The sequence below is a fragment of the Homo sapiens genome, chromosome 8, assembly GCF_000001405.40.
Source record: "Homo sapiens chromosome 8, GRCh38.p14 Primary Assembly".
Taxonomy (NCBI): Eukaryota; Metazoa; Chordata; class Mammalia; order Primates; family Hominidae; genus Homo; species Homo sapiens.
Genome location: NC_000008.11, coordinates 116,011,262 through 116,029,586, shown reverse-complemented (window position 1 = coordinate 116,029,586; position 18,325 = coordinate 116,011,262). Strand labels below are relative to the sequence as shown.

General features: G+C 35.5%; 1 long non-coding RNA gene and 1 pseudogene across 1 annotated transcript in view, besides 1 other annotated feature; both read left to right on the top strand.

The window, feature by feature from the left end:
• LINC00536 (long intergenic non-protein coding RNA 536) overlaps window positions 1-18,325 on the top strand; it is a 374,549-nt gene that overhangs the window by 295,473 nt on the left and 60,751 nt on the right. The gene's annotated exons all lie outside the window — the stretch shown is intronic.
• Window positions 623-805: a silencer, noted in NCBI's record as "fragment chr8:117041007-117041189 (GRCh37/hg19 assembly coordinates)". NCBI's record gives its function as "represses an EF-1alpha promoter that drives an FKBP-Casp9 reporter gene in an ReSE screen in HepG2 liver carcinoma cells {active_cell/tissue: HepG2}" and the evidence as "EXISTENCE:reporter gene assay evidence [ECO:0000049][PMID:32094911]".
• RNA5SP276 (RNA, 5S ribosomal pseudogene 276) lies at window positions 6,808-6,901 on the top strand (annotated as a pseudogene).

Below are 18,325 nucleotides of genomic sequence, written 5' to 3'. Positions count from 1 at the left end.
TCTCCATAGTTCCTCACCTAGACCTCTGTAACTTCTTTCTAAAAGGTTGAGCCAGGTTTAGAGATTTTTTTTTTCCCCATGGAAACTCTTTCCAATACAACTTTCAGAGTGATTCTTAAGACATATGCAGATACCATCATTTTTCTACTAAAATTCTTTTATAACATTCATTTTTTAGAGAATGTATAATCAGAAGTCCATATATACATATATGCAAATACATACACACAGGTGCACACACACACACACACACATAAAGATATGATTAAACTATACTACAGTATACATGAAAGTCCAGGGTATTCTCAAAGCGCATGCATAATTACTTAACTGAGTTGTGGAGGGACCAACTACTCTGTGAATTGCGAAAAATAGTACCATCTACTCTGTGAATTGAGAAATGAATGGGTGTTATTTCAGGGACTGGGTGGGTGAGGCGAGAAGCCTGAGGGATCAGCACATGCAAACACTTAACATATTGAGTTTGTACCTTATGTTGAGCACTGTTTTAAGTATAGTTTACATCTATTTATTCATTTAATCTCAGCAAACATTTTAAGTAAGTAGTGTTATTATCCTTATTTTATGTATGACACCTAGCTATTGGTAGAGCGAGGATTCAGATTTACACAGTCACTCTTCAGGGCTCAGGCACCAAACTACTGTCATTAGAGAAGTTGGTGAGACCTAGATTCTAGAGTGCCTAAAGGTCCAAGTTAAAGAAATTAGATGGCCGGGCACGGTGGCTCATGCCTGTAACCTCAGCACGTTGGGAGGTCTAGGCGGGCAGATCACGAGGTCAGGAATTCGAGACCAGCCTGACCAACATGGTGAAACCCCGTCTCTACTGAAAATACAAGAATTAGCTGGGCATGGTGGCATGTGCTAAGTAATCTTAGCTACTCAGGAGGCTGAGGCAGGAGAATCGCTTGACCCCAGGAGGTGGAGGTTGCAGTGAGCCAAAATCACACCACTGCACTCCAACCTGGGCAACAGAGCGAGACTACGTCTCAAAATAAATAAATAAATAAATAAATAAATAAATAAATAAATAATAAAGTAAATAAATAAAAGAGATTAGACATTGTCCTGAGAGTCATAGGGGGCATTTTTCCTACTGTGAACCAAATAGTAAATTAAGAAAATGAACTGAGCAAAAGACATCTCATAGTGCTATTTTCAGCTTAATAAATTAAGTTGCCTAGTCCTCGTGTGCCTAGTCCTCCTAAATTCCAACTCCTTGTCCTCATTTCGAGCTAATTTTCTCTTTCCCCATATCTCCTACCCTTGAATCTCACCTAAACTATGCTATGAACATTCTTGAAGACATATTATTCCCAGAAACGTGCGCCCACACGCAAAAACTGCATAGATTTTCACAGTTTTCATAGTCTGGATTAATAGTTCAAACTCTAAAATCCTATAACAACTTATCGTTTCCTGATCCACCGAGTTACGTCTTTGTTTATTTCCTCTTTCTAAGGAAGATTGATTTTCTTTTCTATATAAGAACCAATCATCAAGCACTTAGTGTATAGTTTGAATATCATAGGTCTGGGAAATTTCCTCTAAATCTCATCTTTCTTGCCAAATTGGTATAAATAAAAAGTAATATGTTATTCAGAATGGTCTAGGTTTTGCTGCATTATCAAATCTCTAATCTTATGGCATTATATATCAGGGATATATATATATAAAAAACATACCAGGGATATATATATATTACATATCAGGGATATATATATATATATATATATATATATATATATATATATATTACTTATCAGGGATATATATATATATATTACATATCAGGGATATATATATATATTACATATCAGGGATATATATATATATTACATATCAGGGATATATATATATATATTACATATCAGGGAGATATATATATATATATATATATTCATTTTATGCAAAGGCCACTGTGGGTCTGGTCTGGTGACTCTGATGATCAGACTGTTTCTATCTCATTATGCTGAAATCTCAACTGAGGCTTCTTGTTTGCCATAACAGGGAAAAAGAGAGATGGAAAATTCACCTCCAGCTCAAAGATGTTTCACCTGGACCTGGAATATGTCGTTTCTGCTTTTACTCCATTGGCTAGAATTAGTCATAGGGCACTGACTAACTTTAAGGGATTTAGTTTGTCATATGGGGCAGTCACTGGTACTTTCACAAATCACAATACAAAAATGAAGTGATGATCAATTCATCTCTCCTCTGGCTCTTACTGCATTGTATGATAGTTTTGTTTGTTTGTTTGTTTTGAGACAGAGTCTCGCTTTGTCACCCAGGCTGGAGTGCAATGGTATAATCTTGGCTCACTGCTATCTCCACCTCCCAGGCTCAAGTGATTCTCCTGCCTGAGCCTCCAGAGTAGCTGGGATTACAGGCATGTGCCACTGGGCCCAGCTAATTTTTGTATTTTTAGTAGAGATGGGGTTTCACCATGTTGGGCAGGTTGGTCTTGAACTCCTGAACTCAGGTGATCAACCCACCTCAGCCTCCCAAAGTGCTGGGATTACAGGTGTGAGCCACCACGCCCAGCCGGTAGTTATGTTTTAACATGTCTGTTTCTTCATTAAAACTGTGAGCTCTTGGAGGGCAATACTGCATGATTTTATCTTTTTTTTTCCAGTTTCCAGTAAAATTAAGATAGATTTAATTAATGCTGTTAAATTGCATTTATTGGACATCATATGTGTTGTAGGTTAGGTGCCCAGGAAAGAGACACTGAGATAGAGATTAGTGTTGAAGAAGTTTGTTACAAAATTCTCTTGTGACAAGCAAACACGGAGGAGTGAAGACAGCACTACTGGGCAGCGGGTGAAGTTGAGCTTTGATATTAATTTCAGTGGAAGTCTCAGCTGACCCCACAAGGAGCCCGAAGGCTGAGATGGTCTTTTAGAGTTGTCTCAACTTGGGGCCATGGGTCCAGTTTTATATCCCCAAATCAGCCAGTCATTGAATTTGGCTTCCACAGAGAAGAGGGACATGAAGAGTTCCTCTTTAGTTGAAAGTAACTCCCAGAGTAAAAGAACTGGAGTCCTAAATGGGACATGTGGGCAATGCGGCATAGCGTCAACTACCGTTTAACAAACAGTAAGGGCACTTCACTGGACAGTGTGTTTGAACTGTCCTATGTAAATAATTAATACATAGTCTTACAATTCTAATAAAACAGGAATCATATCCAATAGTCTAATGGACCTATGTTGTTTAAAACTAGAAATCACTCTACTTGACAATTTGGGGCTTAAGAGTTTTGTGACTTTCACTTTGTTATACATCAAATTCTAGTCTGATTTTTTAACTATACATTCAGGACTAAATGTAAAAATTGTTTTCTAAGTGGTACACAAAAATTTCACGTTTTCATCCTGACATGTATTTACATCCACAGCTATTCAGTTGTGTGGGCAACTTCAGCCTCTGAGTTAGGAACTGGTTTTATCACTGCTTTTCATCTATTCAAAAATAGTTTATATGAGCAGAAGCTAATGTTTAAATAGAATTTATTCAGCAACATAAAAGTGTGTTGCACGAGCAGAACCAGAATAGAGTAATAGTTAGCTTTTTAATAGGCTCCAAAAATGAGAATAAGTTAGGATTGTCTTAACATTTAAACTGGCAGTACTAACGTTATGAATGTCATACAAATATTGTTTTGTGATACCACATAGTTTATTTAACTTTTTTTTTCCATTATGTCTTAGTCAGTTTCAGGCAGCTATAAAAATGTACCACAGACTAATGGCTAATAAACAACAGAAATGTATTTCTCACAGTTCTGGAAGTTGAAACTTTGAGATCAAGGTGCCAGCATGGCTGGGATTTGGTGAATTCCCTCTTCCAGGCTGCAAACTACTGACTTTTCTTATATCCACACATGGCTAAGAGATAGCAAGAGAGTTCTCTGGGTTCCTTTTATAAGGGCATTTGTTCCAGATAGGCTCTGCTCTCATGGCCTAATTATCTCTAAAATCCCCACATCATTGGGGTAAGGATTTCAACATATGCATTCTGGGAGAACACAAATATTCCGTTCATAACATCGTATTTTTTTTTCTTCTATCTTTAAAATGGAGATTTTTTTAAACCTTGAAATAAGACAATATATGGTGGGTAGGTTATGGACTCTTCAAAATATCTCAGACTGGATTTGTTTTACAAATATGCCCGAGACCTTTTCCTGTGCATATTCACATAGAAAGCAGATCTATTATAAACACAATTGTTTACCTTGAGCTAGATAGTATTTCACTTTGAGAGCAGGTGAAATAAAAACAGCAATAAAATATGCCCTAATGGAAAAGTTGCTTGCAGTGCTTTAGGAGAAATGGATGTTTGAACAAGATAATCTACTAGTTGCAATGTACTATAATAGATACCGATTCAGAGTACCATGGGAACATATTATAGGAAACAGAAAATTCTGCATGTGGGAGTGTTAAAAAAGGTGAAGTAGCCAATTTTCCATGTAATACAGAACTTCAAAATTTCAGTGACTTATGATAACAAATGTGAAATTTCATATTCATAGTTCTGCAAGTCAGCGGTGGTTCAGCTGATCTGGGCTTGCTATGATCGGCTGGACTCCAAGCTTCCTGTCATGATCTGGTCTGCTCCATGTGTCTTTACTCTTAGACCTGGCTGAAGGAAAGTGACGACTGAGGTGTGTTCCTCTTATGACAAATTACAACGACGCAAGAGGACAACACAAATCACATAAGCATGTTTAAAGACTCTGCTCATGTCCCATCCTCCCACTAACATTCCATTGGCCAAAGCAAGCCTCATGGCCAAAGTCAACATTTATAGGGCAAAAAAATATGCCCCACCCTCACTAGTGGGTGGTACTGAAAAACACATGGGAAATCCATGGATGCAAATTCTACAAAGGGTGTATGATTAAAGATTCAGAAGCAACAGTCCAATCTATCACACAGTTTCAAAGGAGAGTCAATATATTTGATGTGGTCTTAAAGGATGAGTAGGAGTTTACTAATAAAACTCTAAACCCAAATCCACCATCCTGCTACTGACATTAATTTGCTTAGTTTGAAATTGGCTTATTGAATTGTGTTATATCCCCAAATCAGCCAGTCATTGAATTCAGGCTTCCACAGAGAAGAGGGACATGAAGTACCTAACATTAAATTGCTTAGTTTGAAAATGTGTAATTGATTTATTCTTGCCAAACAACCACACCTCAGAACAACTGATGCTTGTTTTTCTTTAATGCCCTTGTCCAACTCATTTATCTAACCTCTGACACTGGTCAAGCTCTAGATAGATTCCTGTCATCCTGTCATCCATAGCTTTTTAAATGACGATCTACAAAGCCTTCTCTTGCCTTTGAGACTGCTGTATCTTATTCCTAGGTCTGCGTAGCTTTCCAGCTTTCTCTCCCATTGTTTGCAAATCTTTGGAAGAACTAGTATCCCAGTTTTCACTCTGATTCTTTCTTGGAGAGTTGTGATGATTTTTTTTTTACATGATACTTCTGCCACTCTTTTATTACTCACTACCTGAGTAAATATGCTGTCTTTTTTTCTTTTCATATTATAAATAATTATACTTACTTATTTTATTTGTGCATAACCCAAATATCTCTTTACTCTTTAAGATATTTGACAAAATGGACTTACAGCAAAAATATTTGATTCAGTAAAGTCATCTTTTTTTTCCTATATACTAGTTGAATATAATACTGAATCTAAGAGGTAAGAATAATAAAATGAGGTTGGTTCCCTCTCTTGTATGTTCATTGAGTTCTCACCCATTATTGGTAGTTACATCTTAATCTGTGATTATTTGAAGGTAAATAAGAACCATTTCCTATTCCATTTCAAGTCTTTGTTTTTCTTAAGAAAAATCATCTTTTTAGGAAGAAAGCAGTTAACTGAAAGAATCAACTCTCTTGGAAGTAAGGGGTTAACAGGAATTATAATAAAAGCATTATAAAAAGAAAGGAGAAGCTGTATACTTGAGATCAGCAACCAGAAGCGATCACTGAGATTCATGAATGTAAGAGAAACACTTGCATTGCCAAGGATTAAAAACTGTTGTCGAGTTCAGACAAACTATTAAGGCATGTGTAATGTGGAAGCACAGAACTCCTGGTAAGAACTAGCCTTAGGCAGTATTCCCTTTTAAAACAGAGACTACTTTATATTATGATTCTACAAATGAATGTTGTCTAAATATTTTTGTTAATTGTGGAATATTTCATGATAGTAAGGCTCATCAAGTGTTGAAAATGTAGTGATTCATTTGACATTGAAAAAAGGAAGTACATTTGTTTTAAGCTTGAAAATTAAGGCTGTCTGCGTTTGAACTACATTCACACCTTGGAAATCAGCAGAAATCAAGGTCCCTCAGCTTACATGGGTAGGCAAAGACTTTTCCTGAATATTTTACAACATAGCTAGAAGAAACATAGGATTTTAATTTTTTTTTCCACCAGTGTATCCTCAGTGCTTTACACAAAGCTGTGCGTATAAAAGATGTTTAATAAAAGATATCTTGAACAAACATATTTTTCAAGTATTCATGACATGCAGATCTCTATGGTAAACACTGGAGCGGATAAACAGGAGAAAGGAGAACAAAATTTTATTCATTCAACTAATATTTAGTGATCAGTTATGCACTAAGATCCGTTTTTATATACTTATTTTATTTTTTAATTGACATGTAATAGTTGTTCCTATTTATGGGGTACATAGTGATGTTTTGATATATATAATGTATTGTGATCAGATAAGGGTAATCAGTCTACGGCCGTACCACCCTGAACGCACCCAATCTCGTCTGATCTTGGAAGCTAAGCAGGGTCAGGACTGGTTAATACTTGGATGGGATATAAGGATAATTAGCATATTCATCATCTCAAACATTTATTATTTATTTGTGTTGGGAACATGCAAATCCTCCTTCTAGCTATTTGAAACTATATATTATTGTTAACTACTGTCATCCTACAGTGCCATAGAACATTAGAACTTGTTCTCCTGTCTAGGTGTAATTTTGTATCCTTCAACATATCTCTCACTAGGGATTGTTTTAAGTGTAGAGACACAGCATTACCAGTCAGACAGAAAAAGTCCCTGATCTCCTGGAACTTATACTATGTTGGGTAGGACAGATATACAAACAACCAAAAAAAGCAATAGGTAACAAGTCAATATCAGATAGTCTGTATCTAGAGCTATAAAGGAAATAAAGGGAAGGAAATGAGGGTGAGAGGGGAATTCCTATTGTGCAGGGGCTAATCAAAGAACACCTTTCTGAAAAGGTGACACAGAGGTGAGATCTCTGCAATAAGGAGGCAGCTATTTCAGGAGCTGTGGGGAAAAGTGGTTCAGACAGTTGAGCAAGTGGTTTTGACAGTGGTTCAGAAGGTAGAGCAAGTTCAAACTCACTATGACAGGAAAAAGAACAAAAGAAAGGCTGATGTGGCTAGATGATATGAAGTGTGGCAAATGAGATGAGTCCAGGACCATGATATTATAGCCTTGTCCTAGAAGCAAGGATTTTGCACTTTTAGTACAATGAGAGATTTGGAAGGGAAGGGGCTATGATTTCATTCACAATTAATTGCAAAAGATCATTCTAAGTGCCTTATTGAAAATAATCTGGAGGGAGGATAGCTGAGTCCTAACAACCTTTAGACATCAGTTGCCATAGTGGAGGCCAGAGATGATGATAGCTTGGGCTAGGTCACAGTGGAGATAGATTTTAGACGCGTTTTAGAGATATAACTGACAGAGCTTGCGGAAGGATTGGATGTGGATGGAGAAAAATTAAGTAATTGAGAACAGACTCTATGTTTTAGGGTGGTAGATCTGGGTAGATGAGAGGTCATTTTATGAAATGGGAGAACTTCCTTACTGAAACTACTTTTGTTGCGGGAAAGTGAGAAATAAATTGTTAAAGAAAGTTTATAGTCTATCTATTAAAGGACACACATATACAAACCACATATGCACACGATCCTAAAGATGAGCTAAAAATAGCTATATAAGGTGTAAAACACTGAAAGAATGCAGAGGAAGTTGTTAATTCTCACTGAGTGAATCATTTCACATGTTTGACTTTGTGTGCCGGAATATCTAACTCATAATTATTTAAATATCAAAAACATTTAATTACTTCACATTATGTAAAATCTAAATTTATGTGTTTAAGGTAATCATTCCATAATATCAAAGAGTTCATTTGGTACTTTTCATGGGTTTTCTGTCATGGTCTCAGGATGGCTGCAGCTCTAACATCATGTTCTTGTGTAACCAAACCTCAACTAAGAAAAAAATGTCTAATTTTCATTGACTTTTTGTTTTAATCAGGGAAAAATTTCCTAGAAGCCCTCTAGATGACACATACTACATCTAATTGTTTTGAGCTGAGCCATGTACTCACCTCTAGATCAATTACTGATTAAGGGAAACCAAATTAACAATACTGGTTAGTATCAACCATAGTTCAGCTTTCGTGTCTGGGGTCATTGCTGTCTAACAGTAATAGGGATTATGTAAGTGAAAAAGAAGGGCTATTTGCCCCACTGGATATGTTAAGAGATCCATGTTAAGAGATTCAGTTTTTCATCTGGGTCTTCAATGATGAAGGGCAAAGTCATTATATTTGCAAGCTCACTACATTCCAGACAAAGTAGAATGCCTGGCAGAGTAGGCATTCTATGAATACACATTTTTTAAGCAGATATTCAATACATATTTGTTGAACAAAAACTATCACTTATAAATGAAGCAAGTGAGAGGTAAATAACTTGTCCAAGCTAATTCACTAATAAAAGTTAGAGCAGGATTCAATCTCACATCATTCAATCTCATATCTCATACCTGTTCCAATGCCTGAAGTCTGCTGATTGAAGTACATTAATTTTCAGTAAAGTCTAGTCGTACGTTTGATCACACAACCCTAAAATGAAACTAAATCTAAGGTTGAAGAAGTGGGGAGCTTCTCAAATGAGGTGAAGAAATACTAGGAAACTAGCCACATATCTTTTAATTTCCTTTTCATTCAACTACTTCTTCATTTGCCTTTATCAGACCACCTGCATACCTACCTCTCAAACTACTGAAACTACAAAAAGCTTTTTATATTCCTTGACCTTTACAACCTCTTAACATGTATCTCAACTTCATCCTGATCTCTAGTTCCTTGGCCTTTCCCTATTTTTCAGTGTATCTGTCCTATTTTTTTTTTTTTGTCTTTGTTTCTTTCTTCAACCTAACCAGAACTTGTGGTCACCCTTGCCAACTATTCTGTCACAGGAAAACCTACTTTCCTCACGGAGTGACCTTTTTCTGGATCAATTACAAACCTATGTCAATTGAATTTCCTGTCCATTTCTTCCTCTGAAAGAGCCACTGAAAATGTTAAGAAAAAAATGATGTAAAAATGTTGCCTCTATCTATTGGAAATTGATGGTCCTTATCTGATGGCATCATTCAGTCCCATTCAACAATGTATTTGCTTGTAACTCATCCCCAACTCCTCTTATTTCCTAGAGGAACTCCATAAAATCTTCTCTTTTTTTTCTTTCCTAAAGTCCCCTTCCTTAGGGTACATTGGGATGTGACTTGGTTGGTTGATGAAATATTAGTGGAAGTAACATGTGTCACTACATGTGGAAGTTTTAAGAGCCATTCATGATTCATTATATTCCCTTTTTTGGGCTTCAGTGATCATTTATGTATGTGTCAAGAGGGAAACTTCATAAGCCTAGTCCCTGAGTAACTATGATAATCTCTATCCTCTCAGTGACTTGTTTTGTACATGAAGTGCAAATCTGTAATTACTGTGTGAAGCCACTGTAAATCTGGTTGTTTGTTATCACAACATAATTCAACACATCCTGACTGATACATCCTCCTTCTAGAGTTTCACAGAGCCCTTTCCTTGAAATTTCTGCTTCGAGTTTTGCCATTTCATTATCTTCCCATCCTCAGGCTACACTTTTGTGTGTCTACTTTTCAGTCTTCATGACAGGTTCCCCTTTCTCTGCTCAACCTTTTTCACTGTTTCCTTCTGCACAATCACCCTGGGTCAGCACAGCTACCATTACTCCTTCAAATTCTATCTAAAACTTTGTAACTCCAGTAAGCAACTCTCCCCAAATGTCCAGATCCACATGTGCAAATGCTATAGGAATTTTTACCTGGATATTTTCCTCAACCTCACTTTTTCTCTAATTCTCACTAAAGAAATTCTTTCACGTGTATTCCATCTCTTTGTAAATGTTACTTCAATCCACTCATATTTTAGACTAGAAATCTGGAAATAATTATCATTTATTCCTCTCAGTCACTCCAAATAATCTGCAATTATACAAATTCTACATCTAAAATAGTTCTTTTATCTTCTTCTTTTCCTGTTCTCCTTCTGGGCCTGCATGGTCCTGAGCCATGACCATTTCAACAGCCATCTGAAGCCTCCTCCACCCCCATCTAAGCCATACACTGCTACCAGACTGATATTTAGAAAATATTTTTTGGTTTACATGATTCTTATAGTTTTAAAAAATGGCTCTGAAACTTTACTGCTAATAGCACAGAAACTACATTTCCAGCATAGCATAAGAAACCTACCACAGATTATTCATGTCTAGAATCATCATTCTTTATTCCTCTTAGACATTGCAATCAAATTTGTGTAAGCAGACGCTTATTTTTTCATACATTTGTTTATGGAATTCCCTCATCTGGAAGGACCTTTACTTCTTCCGAATAATCACCACTGAAGTCTTTCTTTAATGTCTTCTTCTCTGTCAAAATGAATCATTTCCCCTCTGTGTTTTAATGATGAGTTATAGATAGTATGTACTGAAAATCGACATCTCTATTAGTTTCCAAGGGCTGCTGTGACATGTTCCCAAAAACCTGATGGCTTAAAACCACAGAAATGTATTATCTCAGTGTTCTAGAGATAGGAACTCAAAGATCAAAAACAAAACAAAACAAAAACTCCACAGAGCTATGTTCCCTTTGAAGACTCCAGGGAAGAATCCTTTCTGTCTCCTCCTAGCTTCTGGTGGTGGCAATCCTGACATTCCTAGGCTTGTAGACACATAACTCTAGTATCTGCTTCCATTTTCACGTGACTTTCCTCCTGTATGTCTCCTCTGTGTCTCTGAAGTCAGATAACCCTCTCCTTTCTCTTACAAAGACACCAATTATTGCATTTAGTGTCCACCCTGATCCAGGATAATTTTCATTTTAACTTGATTGCAGCTGCCAAGACCCTATTTCCAAATATGGTTTTATCCACAGGCACTGGGGGTCAGGACCTGAACATATTTGAGGCAGGAGGAACACAGTTCAATCCCCTACGCCACCTTTTGGCACTATGCCGAGCACTTACAATGCATAAGGTTGAACCATATGAAATTGCCATTTTTCTAGGTCAAAAGGAGTGGATTCTTGACAATTTCATATGGTTCAACTTAAAACTAACACACCGAATTTTCATGACATTTCTATCAATTGATACCATTATTATTACTATCATTTTAAAGGGAGGGTCCTGAAGAAATTAGTAAGTTGTTCAAGGTTGTATAATTAGTGAGAGAGACAAAAGTCAAACCTACTGAACCTAACTCCAGCACCCACTCTATTCACCATTATAATATATAAGTTCTCCTTGGCTGCATTGAATCTTGCTATGTGCAATTCTGTTATATTATTTGTCACAAAATTTATGTGTATATTCTCCTGTATTCTATTATCTGAGCTGTTTTAGGAAGTCCTGTTCACTGCATATTCCCACACTATACAGAGTGTATGCCATTAGATAGAAAACGAATGTTCTTCAAAAAGAAAAAATATGTAAATGAATGCATGGTCGAAAAAATGTTTGATCCCTTAATGACAAAAGAGAAGATACCTGGGAATAATAAAATTTCTTACTATCTGTAGCTGTTTCATTTTATTAAGGACAATGTAGTAAAGACAGAGAAGCTATTGGAAGTTCAGCCTTAGTTTTGGGTGACAGAGAAGTATCCTCTGACTCTCATTCTGACATCATCCCTGTCTCATTGTCGGCTTCAGTTTTATCACTGGAAGTATTGCGCTAACCCTGCCTTATACTTAAACGACATTTCAGCCCAGAATAGGCTGAAATAAATTGATTATTTTCTCCCACATGTGCAGAGCTGCTAAGCTTCAGCATCTGAAACTGTTTCCCTTTCCTTTGTTAAAAATGTCAATATGTACTGTTTAAATCTCAACATCAATGGAAATATTTTTTCTAATTAAAAGATATGAACTAGAAGATTTACTGTGTAATTATTTAATTAAAAAAGCATTGTACCCTTAGATATAATAAGCTGAAGGAGCATCACTCCCATCATTACGATGAATAAGAGCCAGGTTAACTTTACATTTTCACAGCTTTGGTGAGCCCATCAGACAGCTGAGGTGGCACACAAGCAACTAGAACAAATCCTGAGGTGAGATAAGCCCTTGCTCAGAATTACCTGGGGTAGAGACAATGGAACATTTGACAAAGGCTGAATGCGGGCTGGTAGAACTGTGATGCTCCTGTGTACTTGAGAAGCTAGTAGAGGCTGTACCTTTCTGCAGGTTCTTTTTCCATGAATTCATAGGGTGCTCACTGCAAATACCAAAAGAGCCTTCAGAAAGCTTTCACTGTGATGTAAAAGTAGGGGAGAAGAACAAGAGTTACACAAGGAAGGCAAGAAGCACCCCAGGATTCTTCTTCCCCATGCCCAGCCACCCTCACCCCTTCCCACGCCCTATCTCACTTTCGAAGTGCAATGTGGTGTTGTCTAGCAACAACAATCCTCATATCCAGATCAATCCAAACCCACACATTAAAGGCTTTGCACAGGGAAAGGCATACTCATTTTCAGGAATAAAATCTATTCATTTCATTCTGTAATGCCCTTTACGAGATGATCAACTTTCAACAAAAAACTATAAGGCACACAAAATGTCAAGAGAAAACATATTCCCAGAAATCAAAGCAATGATCAGAATTAGATTTAGGTATGAGACATTCATTAGAAATATCTGACATGGAATTTAAAATAACTATAAATAAAATGTTGAAGCTCAAATGTAAAAGGTAGACATCAAGATGGATAATTTCAACAAACAGATGGAAACTATAGAAAAGAATCACATGGAAACGCAATAAAAAAAAAAGAAACAAAAAGCAGTAGCATACAAGGAATGCCTTCAATGCACTCATCTATAAAGTCAGCACAAAGGAGAAAAAGTGTCGATTTGAAGACTAGTCAGCAGAAACTACCCAAACTGTTAAAGGAATACAAAGCCCCAGAATATCCAAAGCAATGTTACCATGTCTAATCTTCTAATGTACGTGTAACTGGAATCCCAAAAACAGAAGGGAAAGAGAATGAGGCAGAAGAAATACTTGAAAAAATAATAGCAGAGAATTTCCGTAAAGTAATAACAGACGACAAACTACACTTCCAAAAAGAAGAAGAAGAGGCATATCACACTTAAACTTAGGCATATCATATTTAAACTGTTGAGAACAAAAGACAGAGAAAATCTTGAAGCAAATAGAGGAAAAAGAAACATAGCATACAGAAGAACAAGAATTATGGCAGACTTCAAGTCAGAAAACAATGAAATGACAAACTTAAAGTGGTAAAAGAAAAAAAAAAGCTATTAAGTCAGAATTCTATATCCCAAAAAATTATCTCTCAAAAATGAAGGACAAATACATATTTTCCCAGACAAACAAAACCTCAGGGAATTCAGTTGCAAGAAGTCCTAGTCTCCAAGAAATGTGAAAGAAACTTTTTTAGGCTAAAGCAAAATTATGTCAGGCTGAAATTTTGAACTGAACAATGAAATGAAGATTTCTAGAAAAAAACAAATGAAGGTAAAATAAATTTTATTTTCTTTATTTTTGATTGGTATAAAAGATAACCTTCTAAAGCAAAAATAGTACCAAAGCATTTTGATTTATAAATATATAAAATTAAATTGTATGATAAAATAGCACAAAGCATAGAAAAGAAAAATTGGAGACATATTGTCGTAAGTCATATTGTAAATTTAAAGCAGTATATTTGAAGGTAGACTCTGATTAGTCAAAAATGTTTATTTTAAACCCTAGGAAAACCAGTAAAATTTTTAAAGATGTAAATAATTAGTCAATAGAAGAAATAAAATGGAATAATGGAAAAATGTTTAATTGACCAAAAATTGGAGGTGGAGCAGAAGGAGGAAGAAGAGGGAACAAATAAATTTCCAATATGTGTACAATCACACAAAAATTAAATAGGCTAAAAACATCATTAAAAAGACAGAGGTTATCAGAATGAATGAAAAAGCAAGACCTAACTGTATTTTGTCTACAAGAGACCAACCTTAAATAAGATGACAGACAGGAAGTGAAAGGATGCAGAAAGGAATACCACACTAACAACAACCAAAAAATCGCTAGAGTAGCTATATTAATAGGCAAAACTATGAACCATTTAAACCTAACTGGCATTTCTAGAACATTCCACATATGAACAGCATAATACAGATATTTTTCAATTGTAAATGGAACATTTGCCAATATATTGTGTTTTCTGGGCCATAAAGCACACATTACAAAAATGAAAAGCATAGAAAATATAAGTAGAATATTTCTGGACCACAAAGGAATTTAACTAGAAATCAAGAACATAAAGGTATTTGGTAAATCCCAAAATATTTGGAAATTAAACTGTACAATGTAAAATAACAAGGTCTAAGAGGAAGTCTCAAAGGAAATGAAGAAATGTGTTGAACTAAATAAAAATGAAAGCACAACATGATCAGAATTTGTAGGTTGTAGCTAAAGCAGTGCCTAGATGGATGTTTACAACAATCAGTATTTATGTTAGAGAAGAAAGGTCTCAAATTATTTCATGTAAACTTTTACCTTTAGAGTCCTGTAAAAAGGGCAAATTAAATCCAAGGTAAGCAGAAGGAAGGACTAGAAATAAGAACACGAATTGATGAAATTAGAAAAATAATAGGAAAAAAGAAATGGAACAAAAAGATTCTTTGGAAAGATCAATAAAATTTAAAGATCTCTAGCCAGACTTATTCCAAAAATAGGGAATAAGATACAAATTACCAATATCAGGATCCAAAGAGGAGACAACATCACAGATATGAACATGGTATTAAAGAATACTGCAAAAAAGTCTAATGGAATACCAAAAAGAAAAGGAAAGACCAGGAAAACTTGGTCTGGCAAGGATAGGAATCAAGTGATGTTTCAAAACATATATTACTGGTAGGAATACAAAATAGTACAAACACCTTGGAGAACTTATAAAGTTAAATATTCATATGTGATATGACCCAGCAATTCCACTTCTAGACATCTGCTAAAGGAAAATAAAATTTATGTTCACACAAAAATTTTTCTGTGAATGTGTATAGCAGTTTTATTTATAATATAATATTTGTACTATAAATAGGAAACAAGATGTCCTTCAACTAATGAATGGATATAAAAAGTATGGTATATTAGTAACATGGAATACCACTTAGCAATAAAAAGGAACAAAGTAATTATTGATTCATGCAGGAACAGGGGTAAATTCTACATGCATTTTGGTAAGTGAAAGAAGCCAGAAAGGTTACATAATGTGTGATTCCATTTATATGACACTTTCAATCACACAAAGTTATAGGGGTGGAAAACAGACTGATTGTGGCCAGGGGTTGAGGGGTGCAGGGTGAGTCAGCATGAGGGAAATTTGAGGCAATGGAATTGTTCTGTATGGCACTGTTGTACTGGCTACATGACTCCATACATTTGTCAAAATCCATATGTATTGGTCTACTAGGGCTGGTATAAGAAAATGTGTATACTAGAGTTTATCATGTAGAGAAATATATTGTGGGGAAGGGGGATCAGAGCACTCACTTTTGAAGAAAGAAGTCACATAATGAAAGAGTGAAAGCTAGAATGGACCTTGTGATTCTGGATTGGAATTGGGGGTATCGCGGATTTGTTTTAGTAGACTGGATTTAATAATAATAATAATAATAACAACATGTATTATCCTAGCTCTGTCCACTGACAGGGGCTAGAAATTATAATACCTCAGTAATAGTGAGCTATATGTAGCATTTAAATTTTGGTTTATAAATACCATTCTCCAATAAAAAGAACCAAGGCTCATTGGAGAACTGGCTGACTCTAGTTTGGGGTTGGGAAAATAAGACAGGCCTAGTATGGAAGTGCAAAAAGAAAGAGGGAAGGCAGAAGGCAAGGAAAAGAAGGAGAAAGAGAAGGAGGGAGAGACACATGGCAACTAAATGTTATGTGAGATCCTTTGTTATTTTCCAGAACTGAAATAGAACATTAGTGGAAACCTGGTAAAATCCAAATAAATTCTATAGCTTGGTCAACATATTTTTACTAGGATTAATTTTTTAGTTTTTATACATGTTCTATGGTTATATAAGATATTAACACAAGGGCTAGGGTATATGGGAAATTTCTATACTATTTTAGCAACTTTCTGTAAGTCTAAAATTATGTCTTCTATTTTTTTTAAGTTAACATTCACGTGGAAAAAACAACCAGATACGGATTTGAAAAGACAATTTATAAATCAGAACAGATTCTTCAGGGCTGCCATTCACATAAGGAATGAGTTCAGGGAACTATCTAAAGTCTGATCATTTCAAGTGTATAAGGTAAGAATTCTAGGCAGCAAGGTAAACTAAAGGTTGAATGGGTGATTAAGAGCGTGTGAAGACACCATCCTTGAAGAACTTGAAGGATGGGTTAGATCATCAGCTGTATAAGAGGGCTAAGGCCTCATTCTTCAGGAAGTATGACAGTACACTATGCATGTTCTGTTTTGTCCACATAGAAGGCTTAAGAAATAACTTCATGCTGTCCTATGATCTGTGTATTTTCATGTGGATTAATGGAAGTCCACATAATTCTACTAAAATATATCTTTTAAGCAAAATCTGAGCCTTGGAAATGTTGTAAGGAAGCATACATCAGGAAATTTGGGTTATGAATTAAATAAAATGCACAAGATTTTACTTTTTTTCCTTATTCATTACAGTCCATTTTAAGCTCAAGTGGTTTCCCATCTGGACCAAAAAATTGCTTTGCTGAAATTTTAATATTCTTTTCCCTGGTATTATTTCATTATAATTCATTTTCATTTTGGAGAGGTGTATGATCTAACAGATTAGTAAGCACACTGATTTGAGAGAGATAATGTGTAAAACAATCTCAATCTTGGTAGAAGCTACTGATGGATTAATCTTGATAACCAATGGTTTGTGTGTGCGTGTGTGTGTGTGATATAACAAAATTTTTCAATCTTTGGCATTTCCCAGTGTGATTTTACTCAGGATTATGCAGTCTGATTCATTGAGGAAAAGTGCACCAGGGAATAATAGGATTTTTCAGCAGAACTTTGACACGAGAGTTGAGGGGATATTCCGTTTCTCATTCAAGGGGCAATTCCATTAACCATCTATTTTCTTTTCCACTGTGCTCTCTCTTAGTCTCTTTTTCTCTGCTATTTTTTTTCTTGGAAGCTTTGCAGCTGAAACACAGGTGGGCGAGTGTGGAGGTTTTAGTTTCCTTTTCAGGGTTTCTTCTACATTGCTTTAAATCTCCACTGATTTGAACAGCCTGACTGATCATTTTACTATTGACGTCAGGAGGGGAGACAAAGGACTAGAAAAACATTGAGAGGCAAATTATTAAAAGTAACTTTCGCTGTATACAGAACTATGTTGATGATTGATTAATAACAATAAATATAATTTTCAAATCACTGCACTCATTATTTAAATTTATAATATCATAGACCTATGGTTGACTGAACTTTTTGTTTTTCATCCAGATAACTTACCAAGATGTTGTAGTTACATGCTTAGGACAAGGAAAGAAATGTCAAAGATTGATGAGTATAGACAACAGGTAAAGGGAAAGGAAGAAATAGTTACTGCTTACTTCAAAGTTTCTTACTATAATTATACAGTTTGAACTGAATAAGAAATATTCATTTAACAAATACATATTGATTACTTACTATGCATGAGGCACAGCGATGCTATGCAGATCAGATAGATGATGTTACAGAATTCTTTGAACCATTCTCTTAAGGATTATAAGTAGGATATGATTTTTTAAAACCTTCCAAATTCCACAACCCTTGATAGTCCATGACATTTCCCACGTTCTTCTCATTTCCAGGAGATTATATTTTCATTGCTCTCTTCACTTTTATATCCTATATCCAGTCCAGACACAAAAC